At 47.4% G+C, this 18,935-nt stretch overlaps 1 long non-coding RNA gene across 1 annotated transcript, besides 3 other annotated features; it reads right to left on the bottom strand.

The window, feature by feature from the left end:
* Positions 1–1,991: 1,991 nt before the first annotated feature.
* On the bottom strand, positions 1,992–8,706 carry LINC01703 (long intergenic non-protein coding RNA 1703). Its single transcript, NR_146920.1, has 4 exons — positions 8,313–8,706; positions 5,228–5,485; positions 2,627–2,791; positions 1,992–2,056 (listed from the first exon to the last, which is right to left on the bottom strand). It is a non-coding gene; the product is annotated as a long intergenic non-protein coding RNA 1703 (long non-coding RNA).
* Positions 8,306–8,885: a silencer, noted in NCBI's record as "silent region_1872". NCBI's record gives its function as "represses an Ori minimal core promoter by ATAC-STARR-seq in GM12878 lymphoblastoid cells {active_cell/tissue: GM12878}" and the evidence as "EXISTENCE:reporter gene assay evidence [ECO:0000049][PMID:35858748]".
* Positions 8,860–9,727: an enhancer, noted in NCBI's record as "H3K27ac-H3K4me1 hESC enhancer chr1:226270255-226271122 (GRCh37/hg19 assembly coordinates)". NCBI's record gives its function as "activates a minimal SCP1, AML or CMV promoter by ChIP-STARR-seq in primed H9 embryonic stem cells {active_cell/tissue: H9 hESC(primed)}" and the evidence as "EXISTENCE:reporter gene assay evidence [ECO:0000049][PMID:30033119]".
* Positions 8,996–9,045: a silencer, noted in NCBI's record as "silent region_1871". NCBI's record gives its function as "represses an Ori minimal core promoter by ATAC-STARR-seq in GM12878 lymphoblastoid cells {active_cell/tissue: GM12878}" and the evidence as "EXISTENCE:reporter gene assay evidence [ECO:0000049][PMID:35858748]".

Genomic DNA, 18,935 nt, shown 5'->3' with positions numbered 1-18,935 from the left:
CATAGCATGTATCAGTAGTTTGTTCTTTATCATTGCTCAGTAGTATTTCATTGTGTGGATGTACCACATTCTCTCTATCCATTCGCCAGTTGATGGACAGTTAGGTTGTTTCCTTTTTTTTTTTGAGACAGGATCTCATTCTATTGCCCAGGCTGGAGTGCAGTGATGTGATCATGGCTCAACGCAGCCTCAACCTCCGGGACTCACGTGATCCTCCTGCCTTAGCCTCCTAAGTAGCTGGGACTACAGGCATGTGCCACCATGCCTGGCTGACTTTTTTATATTTTTTGTAGAGATGGTGGTTTTCCCATGTTGCTCAGGCTGGTCTTGAACTCCTGGGCTCAAGGGATCTGCCCACTTTGGCCTTCCAAAGTGCTGGGATTACAGACATGAGCCACTGTGCCCAGCCTTGTTTCCAATTTTTGGCTATTATGAATAATGTTACTAAGAACATTTGTGTGTAGATAGGCTAAATCCTCACAACAATCCTGTCAGGTGGGCATTGTCATCCTCACTTTAAAGACGAGGACACCAAGGAACATAGAGATTAAGTAACTCACCCAAGGGCACACAGCTGCAATATTTCATCAGGCCTAGGAAGCACATTTTTCCCATATTTTCATGCTTCTGAAACTGGGATGCATCTCATAATCAGTGGCTTGTCATAGCTTACTTACAGCATTTTCCCCTTTCCTCATGGTACATAAAATGATGGTATGTTTTACAATCAAGGGCATCTTGATGAGATATGGCATTAAGTGGCTGGCCTTAGAGGTCTCCCTTACAGTTCACTCTTGTGTTAGGCCTGTTGGTTGTAAGTGACAGAAATCCCACTCAAAGGGAAATTTACTGGCTTGGTAATGGGAGAGGATCCTCGGACTAGGTCTTTGGGTTGGAGGAAGAGCTGCAGGGACCCTGAAAGGGGACTCCACACAGTTAAGTCTCTGTCCGTCTTTTGTTGCTGCTCATCTTTGCCAGCAGGCTCTGTTCCTCCATGAGGCAACCCCCGCTTAATAGTCCAAGGAGTGAAGTAATCCGAAAAACCTCTCTTCCTACCTCTGTGCATCAATTCTAAGGGAGAATTCTGAATGGTCCTGCTGGGATCACATGCCCATCTCTGGCCCGTCACTGTGGCCTGGGGAACGAGTCCCTCAAGGATCCAGCCCTGGAGGACATGCCCTTCCTTGTGGGTAGAAGATCTGTTGCCAGGCCGGGCATGGTGGCTCATGCCTTTAATCCCAGCACTTTGGGAGGCTGAGGTGGGCAGATCACCTGAGCTCAGGAGTTTGAGACCAGCCTGGCCAACACGGTAAAACCCTGTCTCTACTAAAAATACGAACATTAGTCTGGCGTGGTGGCGGGCACCTGTAGTTCTAGCTACCCAGGAAGCTGAAGCAGGAAAATCGCTTTAACCCAGGAGGCAGAGGTTGCAGTGAGCTGAGATCGTGCCACTGCACTCCAGCGTGGATGACAGAGCGAGACTCCATCTCAAAAAAAAAAAAAAAAGAAAGAAAGAAAAAACAAGAAAAGAAAAGAAAATCTGTTGCCAGAGGAGGGTAAGTAAGTGAGTTGCATGGCCAGCATCATTGAGCCTTCGGGCCACTATCACATGGTGTCACTCATTGTCATGTGATTATAGATATTACTGACTAAGGGGGTCTTTAGAAAGAATATCTGAAGTTTTTGATTTGTTTATTCTGTTGTGAGGTAATATTCTAAAGAGGTTAATTATACCTCTAAAAACTGTGTTGTTTGAAAATTAGCTGGGTGTGGTGGTGGACTCCTGTAATCCCAGCCACTTAGGAGGCTGAGGCAGGAGAATCGCTTGAACCTGGGAGGTGGAGGATGCAGTGAGCTGAGATCGTGCCACTGTACTCCAGCCTAGGCAACAGAGTGAGACTCTGTCTCAAAAAAAATAATAAATAAATAAATAAATAAATAAATAAATAAATGTGTTGTTTGAAGGACTTAATAAAGCAATAAAATATTCATGTAATATTCTAGATTTAATTATATTTAAACTTCTCATCAAGTAAAGATTTGTTTGCAGACAGTTCTGTAATAAAAACATGAAAAATCTTTTAGGAAACTAAACCTGTGAATTTGCCATGTTGAATTTAAGCTTCTAAGTATCGGTTTATATTTAACTCTGGCTTTAAACTGTGTGATATCACTTCTGCATCTCCCAAAAGATCTGGCACCTTTCTACCTCCACCCTGTTGCTCAAGTTCCCTTTGTTTGAATTGCCCTCCCCATGTCCATCTATCCAAATTCTACCTTCAATTTAATGTCACTGTCTGCAGGGGTCTTCCCTACTAGCTCTATCTGAAGGCAGTTTCTCCGTCTTTGAATTCCCACAGCCCCCTCATTAGGACTAGACACTCATCCGAGAAGAGCCTATAGCAGTATAATTTCCTGACCATTTGTTGGGTTTTTCCTTCCTATGTCTTCGTTTTCCCATTTTTGGAAAATAGGCTCTTCTGTGCCTTTGCCTCAGGAAAGGTTAAGTCATTGGGCTTCAGACACTTAAATCCAATATAATTCAGATAGAGATTAAGCTGCTATAACACAGACCCCAAAATGCAGTCATGCAAAAAGGATAGAAGCTTATTTCTATCTCACGAACCAATCTGGAGGTGGGCAACAGTGGCTTGAGATAAGTAAGCTGCTTGGCTCCACGTGGTTATTCAGGAACCCAGGTTTCTTTCTTGTCTGTTGTTCCTCCATCTCCTAGGGTATAGTCTTCATCTGCATGGTTGCAGCTGGAACACCACCCCGTTTGTGTTCCAGCCTATGGAAAAGGTAAAGAATTTAGAAAAGCATGTGCTTCATATTTTATGGCCAAGGCTTGGAAATGACACACATCACTCACACTTACATTCCATTGTCTGGAATTGCATCATATGGATGCATCATATAGATACATCTAGTTAGAAATGCGCTCTCTCTCTAGAGTAATGTGTGCTTATTTAAAAGTCAAGTATGTGGCCAGGCGCAGTGGCTCACGCCTGTAATCCCAGCACTTTGGGAGGCTGAGGCGGGTGGATCACAAGGTCAGGAGTTCAACACCAGCCTGACCAACATGGTGAAACCCCGTCTCTACTAAAAATAGAAAAAATACAAAAATTAGCCAGGCATGGTGGCGGGCACCTGTAATCCCAGCTACTCGGGAGGCTAAGGCAGGAGAATCACTTGAATCGCTTGAACCCGGGACGCAGAGGTTGCAGTGAGCTGAGATCGCACCACTGCACTCCAGCCTGGGTGACAAAGTGCGCCTCCGTCTCAAAAACAAACAAACAAACAAAACCTCAATTATTAGGAAGGAGGGGAGAAGATATTTTGAGGCATAACTAGCAGCTTACTACATTTTATTTTTTGGCTTTTGGCTTTAGTTTTCTCAGAGCTGGTGTCATTGAAGAGATTATGCCGAGTGCTTCTGGGGACAGAGAAGTGGGGACAAGCAGTAAGGCCAAGAAGAGAGAATCTAGGGAGAGAAGAGGGCTCCTGTACCAGTGGTCTATTGCTGCATAATAAAACATCTCAAAATTGTTAGTGTTAAATATTGACAACATAGGTGAGCAGGGTTGTGATTTTAAAAAATTAAAAAAGAAAAAATGTTGACCACATTTATTTTGCTCACAGATCTACTATTTTTGTAACATTTGATGGAGACACCTTATCTCTGCCCTGCTCAGTATCAGCTCAAGCATCTCAAAGCCTGGGTGCTGAGATCATCTGAGGGCTCTCTCAGTGACCTGTTTGGTCATTGCAGGTTGTTGGCTGGGACTTTAGTTGGTCTTGTGGCTAAAACACCTACACACGGCCTTTCTGTATGGACGCGTGGCTTTCCCGTAGCCTGGGGCATGGGTTCTAAAAGCAAACCTCCTATGAGCAATTGATAAGCAGACATTTATTGCCTTTTATTTTTATTATATTTTATTTATTTTTTGAGATGGAGTCTCACTCTGTTGCCCAGGCTGGAGTGCAGTGGCACAATCTCAGCTTATTGCAACCTCCACCTCCCAGGCTCAAGTGATTCTCTGCGTCAGCCTCCCCAGTTGCTGGGATCACAGGCGCACACCACCACACCCAGCTAATTTCGTATTTTTAGTAGAGGCAGGGTTTCACCATGTTAGCCAGGCTGTTCTCGAACTCCTGACCTCAAGAGATCTGCCTGCCTTAGCTTCCCAAAGTGTTGGAATTACAGCCATGAGCCATGGTGCCCGGCTTATTGCCTTTTATTTATTTTATTCTATTTCTTTTTTTTTTTTTTTTTGAGACAGAGTCTTGCTCTGTCACCCAGGCTGGAGTGCAATGGCACGATCTCCGGCTCACTCGGGTTCAAGTGATTCTCCTGCTTCAGCCTCCCGAGTAGCTGAGACTACAGGCACCCACCTCGGCCTCCCAAAGTGTTGGGATTACAGGCATGAGCTACTGCACCCACCCAATTTTAAATCTGAAGTATTTATTTTACTTATCACCTATGTAAGAAAAAATATAACCACCTCACCGGAGATATCATTGCTTAGGATGAGGCTGAATTTATTTAGGTAAAAAATAGTGAGTCAATTTAAAGAAATACCTTAAGTAAATAAATCTGAGGCCAGGAGTGGTGGCTCATGCCTGTAATCCCAGCACTTTGGGAGGCCGAGGAGAGTGGATCACGAGGTCAGGATATCGAGACCACGGTGAAACCCCGTCTCTACTAAAAATAGAAAAAATTAGCCGGGCGCGGTGGTGGGCGCCTGTAGTCCCAGCTACCCGGGAGGCTGAGGCAGGAGAATGGTATGAACCCGGGAGGCGGATCTTGCAGTGAGCCGAGATCGCGCCACTGCACTCCAGCCTGGGTGACAGAGCGAGACTCCGTCTCAACAACAACAAAAAAAATTAAATTTAATTTAAAAAATAAATAAATAAATCTGAGTGAGGACTAGAGAAGGCTCTGTAGCAAGTTCAGGGTGCAGTGCAAGCTGCTCTTTCTTTTGGCCCTTATCATCCACAGACCCAACAATATCCGAGTGTCTGTGGCAATGGGGATGCTATATGGAGGCCCTGGGAAGCACCAGTAAGAGAATCACAGCACAGGCCTCTAGGGTTTGGGAACAGATGCACAGCCTGTTTCACAGATAACTGTTCTTCTGGCTTGCTTCTGGTCCCTGGTAGAAACAGAACACCTAGTTATGGGTCGTGAAGCGGCCGCATGTGCACTGCATGTTGTCTTACTCACCCCGCCACGGGATTGGGCACGTGCAGCAGCAATCTCTAATCACGCGGAGACGGCATATGTACACTGGGCTCCAGCAGGCTCAGAAGGCACAAGTGAGCTGTGCGAGCAGGTGGCGCAGACTCCTTCGACAGCGATTCTTGCCTTATTGCCTGTTTTCCTTCATTCCTAGGACCTCATAGAAAGTTCCTTGTGTCAGCCGGGCACCGTGGTTCATGCCTGTAATTCCAGCACTTTGGGAGGCCGAGGTGGGCGGATCACCTGAGATGAGGAGTTTGAGATCAGCCTGGGCAACATGGTGAAACCCCGTCTCTACTAAAAATACAAAAATTAGCCCGTTGTGGCCTGTAATCCCATCTGCTCGGGAGGCTGAGGCATGAGACTCACTTGAACTCAGGAGGCTTAGGTTGCAGTGAGCCCGAGATCACGCCATTGTACTCCAGCCTGGGCGACAGAGCAAGACTCCGTCTCAAAAAAAAAAAAAGTTCCTGTGTCAGTTGACTGAGGAGGAAAAAAATCCAGACTTGGTTTACAGATGGCTCCTGCACAACAGAGAGTGGACAGCTGGAGCCCACCAGCCCCGCTCCAGGGTGTCCCTGAAGGACAAGTGGTGAAAGAAAATCTTCCTTGGGGGCAGAACTTCAAGAGGCACATTTGTTTGTCTACTTTGCCTGGATGGAGAGACAGCCAGATGGAGGGATCTACATAGATTCACTGGCAAGAACATGGAAGGAGGATTGGTGACAAGCAGGTCTGGGGAAGAAGTATGTGGACAGATCTTCCAAACAGGCCCAGAATATAAAGATATTTGGGTCCCATGTGAATGCACACCAAAGGGTATCACTGCAAAGGAGGCTCTTGACTATCAGCGGAACAAAGCATGTTCTCTGGAGGTCGGGCTGTCTCTTTTTCCAGCTACCATTGCTTGCCCAATGGACCTATGTAACAAAGAGGCTGTGTGGCAAGATTGGAGGCTATGCGCGAGCTCAACAACATGGACTTCCCCTCACCAAGGCTGAGTAAGTCATCTACTAACTGCCTAATCTGCCAATAGCAGAGACCAACACTGAGCCCACTGTGGCTCCTTGGGGGACCCAGCCAGCCATCTAATGGCAAATTGATTACACTGGACTTTTTCCATCATGGAAAGGACATTATACACATATTCTGGATTTGCTTTGCCTGTTCATCTTGTTTCTGCCAGCACCACCATGCATGGATTAACAGAATGCCTTCCTCACCATCCTAATACTCCACTCAGTACTGCTTCTGATCAAAAGATGAGCAGCAATGGCCTACTGCCCATGGAACAAACTGATTTTTTTGTTGTTTTTCTTTTTCTTTTCTTTTCTTTTTTTTTTTTGAGACGGAGTTTTGCTCTGTTGCCCAGGCTGGAGTGCAGTGGCGCAATCTCGGCTCACTGCAAGCTCCGCCTCCCGCGTTCAGGCCATTCTCCTGCCTCAGCCTCCGGAGTAGCTGGGACTACAGGTGCCCGCCACCACGCCCGGCTAATTTTTTGTATTTTTAGTAGAGACGGGGTTTCACCTTGTTTGCCAGGATGGTCTTGATCTCCTGACCTCGTGATCCGCCCGCCTCGGCCTCCCAAAGTGCTGGGATTACAGGCGTGAGCCACCGCGCCTAGCCTTCTTTTTCTTTTTTCTTTCTTTTCTTTTCTTTTTTTTTCTGAGATAGAGTTTCACTCTTTTTGCCCAGACTGGGGTGCAATGGTGCGATCTCGGCTCACTGCAACCTCTGCCTCCCCAGTTCAAGCAATTCTCCTGCCTCAGCCTGCCAAGTAGCTAAGATTACAGGCACCTGCCACCACGCCTGGCTAATTTTTGTATTTTTAGTAGAGACGGGTTTTCACCATGGTGGCCAGGCTGGTCTTGAACTCCTGACCTCAGGTGATCCGCCCACCTTGGCCTCCAAAAGTGCTGGGATCACAGGGGTGAGCCACTGTGCCCAGCCCTTGTTTGTTTTTAAGGCAGGATCTCGCTCTGTCACCCAGGTTGGAGTGCAGTGGTGTGATCTCAGCTCACTGTAGCCTCAAACTCTTGAGCAGGTGATCCTCCCAGCTCAGCCACCCAAGTAGCTAGGACTACAGACACACACCACCACACCTGGCTAATTTTTATTTTATTTTATTATTTTGTTTTGTTTGAGACAGGGTCTCGCTTTGTCGCCCAGGCTGGAGTGCAGTGGTGAGATCTCGGCTCACTGCAACCTCTGCCTCCACGGTTCAAGTGATTCTCTTCCCTCAGCCTCCCAAGTAGCTGGGATTATAGGCGCCTGCCACCAAGCCCGGCTAATTTTTGTATTTTTAGTGAGATGGGTTTTCACCATGTTGGCCAGGCTGGTCTCGAACTCCTGACCTCAAGTGATCCACCTGCCTTGGCCTCCTGAAGTGCTAGGATTACAGGTGTGAACCACTGCGCCCAGCCATGCCCGGCTAATTTTTGAATTTTTAGTAGAGACGGGGTTTCACCATCTTGGCCAGGCTCGTCTTGAACTTCTGACCTCGTGATCCACCTGCCTAGGCCTCCCAAATTGCTGGGATTATAGGCGTGAGCCACTGTGCCCGGCCTCACTTTTTTCTTTTCTTTTTCTTTCTTTCTTTTTTGAGACGGAGTCTCGCTCTGTCACCCACGCTGGAGTGCAGTGGTGTGATCTCGGCTCACTGCAACCTCCGCCTCCCGGGTTCAAGTGATTTTCCTGCCTCAGCCTCCTGAGTAGCTGGGGGTTACAGGTGTGCGCCACCACGTCTGGCTAATTTTTGTATTTTTAGTAGAGATGGGTTTTCGCCCTGTTGGCCAGGCTGGTCTCGAACTCCTGGCCTCAACTGAGCCGCCCGCCTTGACCTCCCAAAGTGCTGGATTACAGGCGTGAGCCAACACGCCCGGCCCCTGAGGTCACTTTCGCGGGGCAGAGGGTATGAAGCTGCGGAGAACAGGCTCGAGCGCTGCGGAGCCGGGAATTACTGAGTCCCGCGACGCGCGGGCAGGACTGGCACTGTTTTTTCCAGCTCGCGGGCTCTCAGTTCATAGTATGACATCCCCACCCATCGGCCCGGAGGCTGCTGAGCACTAACCCGATTTGTTTTCCAAAGTGCCACGCTTCACCCACTCGGCAGGATATGCGGCACCTTCAGGGCCGCAGCTGCAGCTCGCGGGCTCCAGGCGTTCGCATGGCTGGGCCAGGCGCTGGAGGCGGCCCTCACCCGTGGGACGGTGCCCCCCAGGCCCCGGGACGGAAAGGAGCTGCGGCGACGGCGGGAGAGGGCCCTACCCCCGGCGAGGCTGAGGCCTCAGGAGCGGACCTCACTGCAGGCAGCCCGGGAGGGAACGGCGGGGGAGTCCCGGGTCGTGGGGGTGACCCAGCCAGGGCTGGCGGAGAAGGGCCCGTAAGGTCGGCAAACCTGGGAGAGCGCGGGTGGCTGGAACCCCCTGTGCAGGCGGCCGCGTGGGGGCGGACCCGGTGGGCGTGGCGAGCTCCGGGGGCGTGGCCTGGGCCTTGGGGCCGCGTCACGTGACAACGACCGAGGCTAGAGGTGCTGTTGGGCGAACGCGAGGCGTCTGAAAGGATCAGTTTCGCGTTTTGGGGAAAGTTCTCTCTGGCACCTGGGGCTGGGGAGGGCGAGCCGGAGGAAGAGAGCCCGGGTGAGGCGGCGATTTCAGAAATGCCTGAAAAGGGAGAAGCCCGCCCCGGAGCCACGACAGTGGGGACGCTGGAGAGATGCTGGGGACCGGCCTCCACGACCTGGGGGGGAGGGGGGAGGGGACGAGCGGCGGGCACCCTGAACCCTTAGTCCTCGAGGCCCTGACAGCGACCCTCCCTCATGCTGCCCCCGAGGAGGAGTTGGAAGGAGCAGCTGGCCCCACGCCCCGTTTCCCGAGACTGCGGGCAGCGCTCCTCAGGAGTGTGTCCGGGGCCGGCTACTTCCTCCACTAAGAGACGAGTCGCCCGGGCCGCAGGAAGGGCCTGGTGCGCGGCCATCTGCTGACCAGTCTGGAGCTAGCGTGGTGGCTTCGGCTGCGCTGACAGTGATGCCACCGAGGTCTCTTACACACCAACAAGCTTCACAGGCCCCTCACCCAGCTAAGCCCGGGCATGGCATGCCTTGAGGGTATCCGAGGCTGTGACATCTTAGCAGAAATCCAAGCTAGCCCTCCCCACCCCCTCCACTCTACCTCCCCTTCACTTGGAATCAGAACTGTTCTATTTCAGCTCCAAATGTGATGATGATGACCAAATAAAATCCACCGTGAATTGAGCCCTCACTGTGTGTGCCCGGCTCTGTGCTAAACATTTGTCATGCGTTCTCTCACATAATCCCCGGACCTCCTACCACTTTCGTTATTTTTGCCTTGCCAGCACTAATTGTAAAACTGAACTCTTATTATTACGATGTTTTAATTGACTCAAATTTAGAGGTGTTATACGAAATCACAGGTTTGATGTGTAATGTTTCTTTTACTAATTCATATACAACATATAGACCTTGCAAATGTTTGAAACTGGCCGGGCGTGGTGGCTCACGCCTGTAATCCCAGCACTTTGGGAGGATGAGGCGGGCGGATCACCTGAGATCAGGCGTTTGGGACCAGCCTGGCCAACATGGCGAAACCCTGTCTCTACTAAACATACAAAAATTAGCCAGGCGTGGTGACACGCACCTGTGGTCCCAGCCACTCGGGAGGCTGAGGCACGAGAATCACTTGAACCCGGGAGGCAGAAGTTGCAGTGAGCCAAGATTGTGCCACTGCACTCCAGCCTGGACAACAGAGCAACTCCGTCTCAAAAACTAAAAATACATACATACACACATTTAACAAATTGGATCGGCCTTTTTTTTTTTTTTTTTTTTGAGACTGAGTTTCGCTCTTGTTGCCCAAGCTAGAGTGCAATGGCGCGATCTCGGCTCACCGCAATTTCCGCCTCCCGGGTTCAAGCGATTCTCCTACCTCAGCCTCCCGAGTAGCTGAGACTACAGGCGCCCGCCACCACGCCCAGCTAATTTTTTGTATTTTTAGTAGACACGGGGTTTCACCGTGTTAGCCAGGATGGTCTCAATCTCTTGACCTTGTGATCCGCCCCCCTCGGCCTCCAAAGTGCTGAGATTACAGTGTGAGCCACTGCGCCCGGCCCTTTTTTTTTTTTTTTTTTTTTTGAGACAGGGTGTCACTCTGTCACCCAGGCTGGAGTGCAGTGACGCGGTCACAGCTCACTGCAGCCTCAACCTCCCCGGGTTCAGGCGATCCTCTCACCTCAGCCTCTTGAACAGCTGGGACTACAGGCGCGCAGCAGCACACCTGGCTAATTTTTGTATTTTTTGTAGAGATGGGTTCTGCTATGCTGCCCCAAGTTGTTCTGGAACTCCTGGGCTCAAGCAATCCGCCTGCTTCGCCCTCCACAGTGCTGGGATTACAGGCATGAGCCACCATGCTCAGCCCTGCCTCAGTCTTTTTGATGGTTATGTGGTATTTCTTTTTAAAATTTTTTGTTTGGGTTTTGTTTTAGAGTATGTTGCCCAGGGAGGACTGAAACTCCTGGGCTCAAAAAATCCGTATTTTATTGTTTTCTTTAACTATGAATTATTTAGTTGTTTTATGTTCAGGCAGCTGGTCTGTTTCTAGTTGTATTTTTCTATTAATTTTATCTTAATTCCATTGTGATTGAAGAACATACTCTACGTAACTGCAGTTAAGAATATTTGTTAGGCTTTCTATCAGCTGTGCATGTGAACAACTTTGGTAAAAATTTTCCTTGTGAATTTGAAAAGAATGAATTCAGTTGTTGAGTTCAGAGCTCTATATATGTTAGCTGATGAAGTTTGTTAATTGTGTTGTTCAAATCTTCTATATCTTTACTTCTTGTTTTTTCTCTCAGCTGATATAAAATATATTTTAAAGTCTGCCACAATGATTGTGAATTTGTCTACTTCTCTTTTTAGTTTTCTCTGCTCTGTATATTTTCAACCTGTGCTGTTAGGTGCATACAGATTTAGGATTGTGATGTCTTCCTTTTTGATTGCTTCCTTTAGCATTATGAAATGGCCTCTTTACCTCTTGTTATGTTTCTTCCCTTAAAGTATACTTTTATGTTTGTTTGTTGTTTTTATTTTTGAGATGGGGCCTCACTCTGTCGCTCAGGCTGGAGTGCAGTGGCCTGATCAGGGATCACTGCAGCCTCTACCTCCTGGGCTCAGGTGATCTGGAATCCCACACCTGAGCCTCCCCAGTAGGTGGAACTACAGGCCCACACCACCACACCCAGCTAATTTTTTTTTTTTTTGAGGCGGAGTCTTGCTCTGTCGCCCAGGCTGGAGTGCAGTGGCACGATCTCGGCTTACTGCAAACTTCACCTCCCGGGTTCACGCCATTCTCCTGTCTCAGCCTCCTGAGTAGCTGGGGACTACAGGTGCCCACCACCATGCCTGGCTAATTTTTTGTATTTTTAGTAGAGACGGGGTTTCATCTTGTTAGCCAGGATGGTCTCGATCTCCTGACCTCGTGATCCACCTGCCTCGGCCTCCCAAAGTGCTGGGATTACAGGCGTGAGCCACCACGCCCGGCCTTTTTTTTTTTTTTTTTTTTTTTTGAGATGGCGTCTTGCTCTGTCACCCAGGCTGGAGTGCAATGGTGTGATCTCAGCTCACTGCAACCTTCACCTCCCGGGTTCAAGTGATTCTCCTGCCTCAGCTTCCCGAGTAGCTGGGATTACAGGCATGTGCCACCATGCCTGGCTAATTTTTTTTTTTTTTTTTGAGATGGAATCTTGCTCTGTCACAGAGGCTGGAGTGCAGTGGCAGGATCTCGGCTCACTGCAACCTCCGCCTCCCGGGTTCAAGTGATTTTTGTGCCTCAGCCTCCGGAATAGCTGGGACTACAGGCGCACACCACCATGCCTGGCTAATTTTTTGTATTTTTAGTAGAGACTGGGTTTCACCACATTGGCCAGGCTGGTCTTGAACTCCTGACCTCAGGTGATCCATCTGCCTCAGTCTCCCAAAGTGCTGGGATTACAGGCGTGAGCCACTGCTCCCGGCCCAGTGTCTTACACTTTGGATTTATCAGGTTGTTTCTTTATCCTTATTATATTCAGTTTAAACATTTTGGCTAAAAGTTTGGGTGATGTGTCCTCAGTACGATGTCAGTTTGTCTCCTTTTTGATGACATGAAGTTTCATCGTTTGATTAAAGCCTAGTTTCTCTTGAATTCCCTCTAATCAGGTTTTGTTCCCTCTATTTCATCAAAACTGTTATTAGGATCACCAATGACCTCTAGAAATTCAATGGTCAATTCTCAGACCTCACGCTCCCCTTGACTTAGTAGTATTTGACACCGTAGATCACTTCGTCCTCATTGGAGCACTTTCTTCTTTTGAATTCCAGATGATCACATATGTCTGGCTTTCTTCCTCTCTGCCTATTTCTTCTCAGTCTTCTTTGGAGCTGTCACTCAGTCTCTAAACTCTAAATGTTGAGTTCCTCAGTCCTTGGAGCTCCTCTCTAATTTCTTTTTTTTTTCTTTTTTCTTTTTTTTTTTTTTTTTTGAGACGGAGTCTTGCTGTTGCCCAGGCTGGAGTGCAGTGGCAGGATCTCGGCTCACTGCAAGCTCCGCCTCCCGGGTTCACGCCATTCTCCTGCCTCAGCCTCCCGAGTACCTGAGACTACAGGCGCCCGCCACGACGCCTGGCTAATTTTTTGTATTTTTAGTAGAGACGGGGTTTCATCTTGTTAGCCAGGATGGTCTCGATCTCCTGACCTCGTGATCCACCCGCCTCGGCCTCCCAAAGTGCTGGGATTACAGGCGTGAGCCACCGCGCCCGGCCTTCCTCTCTAATTTCTATCAGCACCTGCTTCCTTGGTGATCTCAGCTAGTTTTAAGACCATGCTGATGACTTCCAAATTTATATCTCCAGCCCAAACCTCTTTCCTAAACCCCAGGTTCATATCCAATAGTCTCCATGAAATCAATAAAAAGTCTAATTAAGCATCTCAATCTTAACACGTCCAAAACTGAGCTCCTTATATTTCCCAAACCTGTTCCCTCACAGTCTTCCCTAAGTGAAGCAATAGCAACTTCATGCGGTTGCTCAGGTCAAAACCCTGGCCCCATTAACCGCCCCCTCTCCCTTTTTTTTTCTCATGCCTACATCCATTAAGTCCTAGCCATCCTCCTATCATTGTAAAATATCCAGAATGCCACTTTGCACACTGCCACTGCCACCACCCAAGTCCAAGCCGCTATATCATGTCACACTTAGGTTACTGCAATAGCTTAATTGGTTTTCCTTTCTGCTCTACCCTTATTGCCTTCGGTCTATTCTCCAGACAGCAGCTGGAGTGATTTTGTTAAAACATTAGTCAGACCATTTTATCCTTCTGCTGAAAACTCTCCAGAGGTTTCCCGTCTCACTCAGTGTCCTTGCAGGACCTATAAAGCGCTACATGCTCTGACTCCCATTACATCTCCGGTTTCCCACCGTGCTTCTCTGCTCGTTTGCTCTGCTGTGGCATGCTCACCTCCCTGTTGTTCCGAGAACATACCAGGCTGGCTCCTCCAATGGGACCCCTAATAGGACCTGAAATACTCTTCTCTCACATCTGTGTGGCTTGCTGTCTCATTTTCTTCAAGACTTGACTCGAAAGATACCTCAGTGATGCCTCCCATGGCTACGCTAACTTCCAACATCTCCCCCCCGAGTCCACAACACTTGTTATCCACATTCTTTTTTTCTTTTTAGCACTTACCACTATCTGATAAATTATGTACAGTTGGTCCCAAATTATGATGGTTCGATCTACAATTTTTCAACTTTACGATGATGCAAAAGTGACACACATTCAATAGAAACTGTCCTTGGAGTATCCACACAACCATTGTTTGTCACTTTGTTTAGTATTCATGAGCTCTTCAACATTTTATTTAAAAAATAGGCCGGGCGCAGTGGCCCACACCTATAATCCCAGCACTTTGGGAGGCCGAGGCAGGTGAATCACAAGGTCAGGAGTTCAAGACCAGCCTGGTCAATATGGTGAAACCTCGTCTCTACTAAAAAACAACCCACAAAAATTAGCTGGGCGTGGTGGCATGTGCCTATAGTCCCAGGTACTCAGGAGGCTGAGGCAGGAGAATTGCTTGAACCCAGGAGGTGGTGGTTGCAGTGAGCCAAGATTGCGCCGCTGCACTCCAGCCTAGGTTACAGAGCAAGACTCCATCTCAAAAAAAAAAAAAAAACAAAAACAAAAAAACAAAAAGGCTGTTAGATGGTTTTGCCCAACTGTAGGCTAATATTAAGTATTCTGAGCACATTTTTTTTTTTTTTTGAGACAGGGTCTCACTCTGCCACCCAGGTTGGAGTGTAGTGGTAAGATCTCAGCTCACTGCAACCTCTGCTTGAACCCGGGTTCAAGCAATCCTCCTGCCTCAGCCTTCCAAGTGACTGGGATTACAGGCACGTGCCACCACGCCCAGCTAATTTTTGTTTTGTTTTGAGATGGAGTCTTGTTCCCGTTGCGCAAGCTGGAATGCAGTGGTGCGATCTCGGCTCACTGCAACCTCCACCGCCAGGGTTCAAGCGATTCTCCTTCCTTAACCTCCCGAGTAGCTGGGATTACAGGCGTGTGCCATTATGCCCAGCTAATTTTTGTATTTTTAGTAGAGATGGGGTTTCGCTACGTTGGCCAGGCTGGTATCGAACTCCTGACCTCAGGCGATCCACCCACCTTGGCCTCCCAAAGTGCTGGGATTATAGGGGTGAGCCACCGCGTCCAGACTAATTTTTATATTTTTAATAGAAACAGGGTTTCACCATGTTGGCCGGGCTAGTCTTGAACTCCTGACCTCAAGTGATCTGCCCATCTCAGCCTCTCAATGTGCTGGGATTACAGGCGTGAGCCAACATGACTGGCCATTCTGAGAACATTTAAAGTAGGCTAGGCTAGGCTGTGATGTTGGGTATGTTAGGTGTATTAAATGCATTGTCGATTTAGGGTATTTTCAACTTACAGTCAGTTTACTGGAACATGGCCCTATCCTAAGTCAAGGAGAGTCTGCATTTACTTCATCTTTATTGTGTTTTTTCCCACTACAATGTAGCTCCATAACAATAGGGAACTTTGTTCACTTCTGTGTCCCCACAACAGTGTCTGGTACATAGAAGGTACTCCATAAATAATGAATGAATGAATGAACGAGGCATAGGGGGACTGGGTGATTTGCCCGAGGTCACTCGGCTAGTACAGAGGCAGTTTAGCTACTGTTGTTTTTTGAAGACAAAGTCTCTCTTGCCCAGGCTGGAGTGCAAGTAGCACAATCATGGTTCACTGCAGTCTCAACCTCCTGGGCCCAACTGATCTTCCCACCTCAGCCTCCTGAACAGTTGGGACCACAGGTGGGTGCTACCATATCTGGTTATTTTAAATTTTTTTTGTAGAGACAGGGTCTCACTATGTTGCCCAGGCTGGTCTCAATCTTCTGGTCTCAAGTGACCCTCCTGCCTCAGCCTCTTATAGGCGTGAGTCACCACGCCCAGCTCAGAGCCTGAACTCTTAACTGTGGAACTACACTGCAAATAATTATTTCCTTAAAAAAATAATTTCCAGGCCAGGCGCCGTGGCTCGGGCCTGTAATCCCAGCACTTTGGGAGACTGAAGCGGGTGGATCACCTGAGGTCAGGAGTTAGAGACCAGCCTGGCCAACATGGTGAAACCCCATTTCTACTAAAAACACAAAATTAGCCAGATGTGGTGGCTCAATTTTTTTGAGACGGAGTTTGACTCTTGTTGCCCAGGCTGGAGTGCAGTGGCGTGATCTCGGCTCACTGCAACCTCCATCTCCCGGGTTCAAGCAATTCTCCTGCCTCAGCCTCCCAAGTAGCTAGCTAGTGGTTTAAAAAAAAAAAAAAAGTATTCATAATGACTTTTGAGAATGCCTCTTAACTAGTTTCACCACTTATGTTGTTACTGATTTATTTGCTATCATGATAAAATTGTAACCCACCTAGTCCTATTTCACTTTTTTCCATAAAATCGAGCTCCTGCAGGATCTATTTCACTTTGAGACTAATATTCACTAGCATAAGAATCATACCTAATTCAGTAGGGATGCTACTTGGAAAGTTAAGTTTGAAACCAGGTTTTGCCCTACAATTCTGCAAGGAACAGTATGTATGTTGGCTTGCCTTATCAGAATTTTAGATTCTAGTTCACTTACTATTGTGTTCTGCTTTTTTTTTTTTTTTTTTTTTTTTTTTTTGAGACAGAGTCTCGCTCTGTGGCCCAGGCTGGAGTGCAGTGGTGAGATCTAGGCTCACTGCAACCTCTACTTCCTGGGTTCAAGTGACTCTCCCACCTCAGCCTCCTGAGTAGCTGGGATTACAGGCACGCACCACCATGCCCAGCTAATTTTTGTATTTTTAGTCAAGACGGGGTTTCACCGTGTTGCCTAAGCTGGTCTTGAACTCCTGACCTCGTGATCTTCCCACCTTGGCCTCCTGAAGTGCTGGGATTACAGGCGTGAGCCACCTCACCCAGCCAGGCCTTGTGTTTTTGTATCTACTTTCATTTAATCCTCAAAATAACAAATCAGTTACCATATATTAAGTTTACAGAAGCTTAACGTTGACATGGAGGTGAGCAGGACCACTCATTCATTCTAGCATTAATTTGACAGATTTTTATTCAGATTTACTATATATCAGCATGGGGGCTATAATGGGAAATAGTGCGAACCCCCGTTCTTGTAGCATTCTAGTGGGAGCAGTCAAGAAAATAGTAGATAAATGGCCGGGCGCAGTGGCTCATGCCTGTAATCCCAGCACTCTGGGAGGCCAAGGTGGATCACCTGAGGTCAGGAGTTCAAGACCAGCCTGACCAATATGGTGAAACCCCGTCTCTACTAAAAATACAAAAATTAGCCGGGCGTGGTGGCATGTGCGTGTAGTGCCAGCTACTTGAGAGGCTGAGACAGAATTGCTTGAACCCGGGAGGCAGAGGTTGCAGTCATCTGAGATTGTGCTATTGCACTCCAGCCTGGGCAACAGAGACTCCATCTCAAAAAAAAAAAAAAAAAAAAGACAAATTAACAAGATAATTTCAGATTTTTGGTAAATACTAAGGAATGTGAAAAAGGGTGTGTGAGCAGAGGGTTTGGCTGGAACTTAAGTGGTGGAAAGATTGGTAAGGTCAGATCACATTAGGTTTCTCCTGAGTCAGTGAGTAGTTTAGATTTCATCCAGTGTGCAATGGGAAGCCGTTAGAGATCTTTAAGTGGGGAAATGACCTGAAACAATTTACGTTTTAAAAGTTTATCTGGAGGCTGTGCGGAGGAGTCCAGAGGAGAGTAACAGTGGATGGATGCAGATAGATTTAAATTATTTCAAGAGTCTAGGTGAGAAAATAGCAGCTTGGGCTGGGCGCGGTGGCTCAAGCCTGTGATCCCAGCACTTTGGGAGGCCAAGGTTGGGGGATCACCTAAGGTCAGGAGTTTGAGACCAGCCTGGCCAACATGGTGAAACCCCTTCTCTACTAAAAATACAAAAAAATTAGCTGGGCATGGTGATGGGCGCCTGTAACCCCAGCTACTTGGGAGGCTTAGACAGAATTGCTTGAACTCGGGAGGCGGAGGTTTCAGTGAGGCGAGATCACATCATTGCACTCCAGCCTGGGCAACAAGAGCTAAACTCCGTCTCAAAAAAAAAAAAAAAAAAAAAAAGAAAAGTAAAGAAAATAGCAAATAGCAGCTTGGATTAGGGCAGTAGAAGTGGGGAGTGAAAAGTTTTGGATGCCCCTTTGGAGGAAGAGCCTAAAGGAATAGGTAATGAGAGTGGAATTAAAGGGGGTAGGTTATGACTGAGCAGGTGATGAGCAGCATGGTTTTGACTGCATACAGGCTTTTCTTATGATTTCTAAAATATCACCCTCAATCCTAATTTTGTCTTCCCTCCCAACCCCCATTTGTTTCTACTACTGCCAAGACTTCAACTTCTACAATCCCTGGCAAAATTAACTGCTCTAATTTATTCTATGTATCACTTAAGAGAATGGTCTTCGATTTAGCCTACCTGGGGACAAAGTCTACCTCTTTCGTCATTTCTTTACCTGTAAAATAGAGCATACAATAGTACCCACTTCACAGTTGTTGAGAATTAAATTTTGAATTGGGGCATACTTTTGCATCCTCAGCATTTGGCAGGCCCTTGATTTATTTGCAAATTTGAATGTATTTCCTCTTAAAGATTCTGGACTGTCAAGAAAAGGCAAGAGTTTGGGCATTGTTCAAGCACCCACCTATTCATAATAGCTGAGATTCCCCCCATTTGCTTAAGAGGATGTTTTCAAATTCCTAAAGATTCTTCCATAGTATTCCCGATTTTCCTAAGACGTTTACCTGAAATTTTTTTTTAATCTTAAAATATAATTTTCTGGGGTTTTTCATCCGTTAACTTAGACTTTAGTGAACTTTTCTGGAATCTTAGAAGGTGTTTGTTGGCTATTTACTTTGCTATTGAAAAGCTGAAACAAAGTGGTAATTCTAGCTAGTCTCCATACATTTTGGGCCGAATTCCAATTCACTCTAGGTTTTTTTTCTGGGTGGGACTGCCATATAGCAACTCTGAAGCATCATAGGAAAGAGGATTATGAGCCTAACAGTTACCGAGCATTAACCCAGGGATTAAAGAGCTGGCAGATCCACTTACACCTGAGTCA

Source organism: Homo sapiens, chromosome 1 (assembly GCF_000001405.40).
Source record: "Homo sapiens chromosome 1, GRCh38.p14 Primary Assembly".
Taxonomy (NCBI): Eukaryota; Metazoa; Chordata; class Mammalia; order Primates; family Hominidae; genus Homo; species Homo sapiens.
This window is presented reverse-complemented; position numbering and strand designations above follow the sequence as displayed.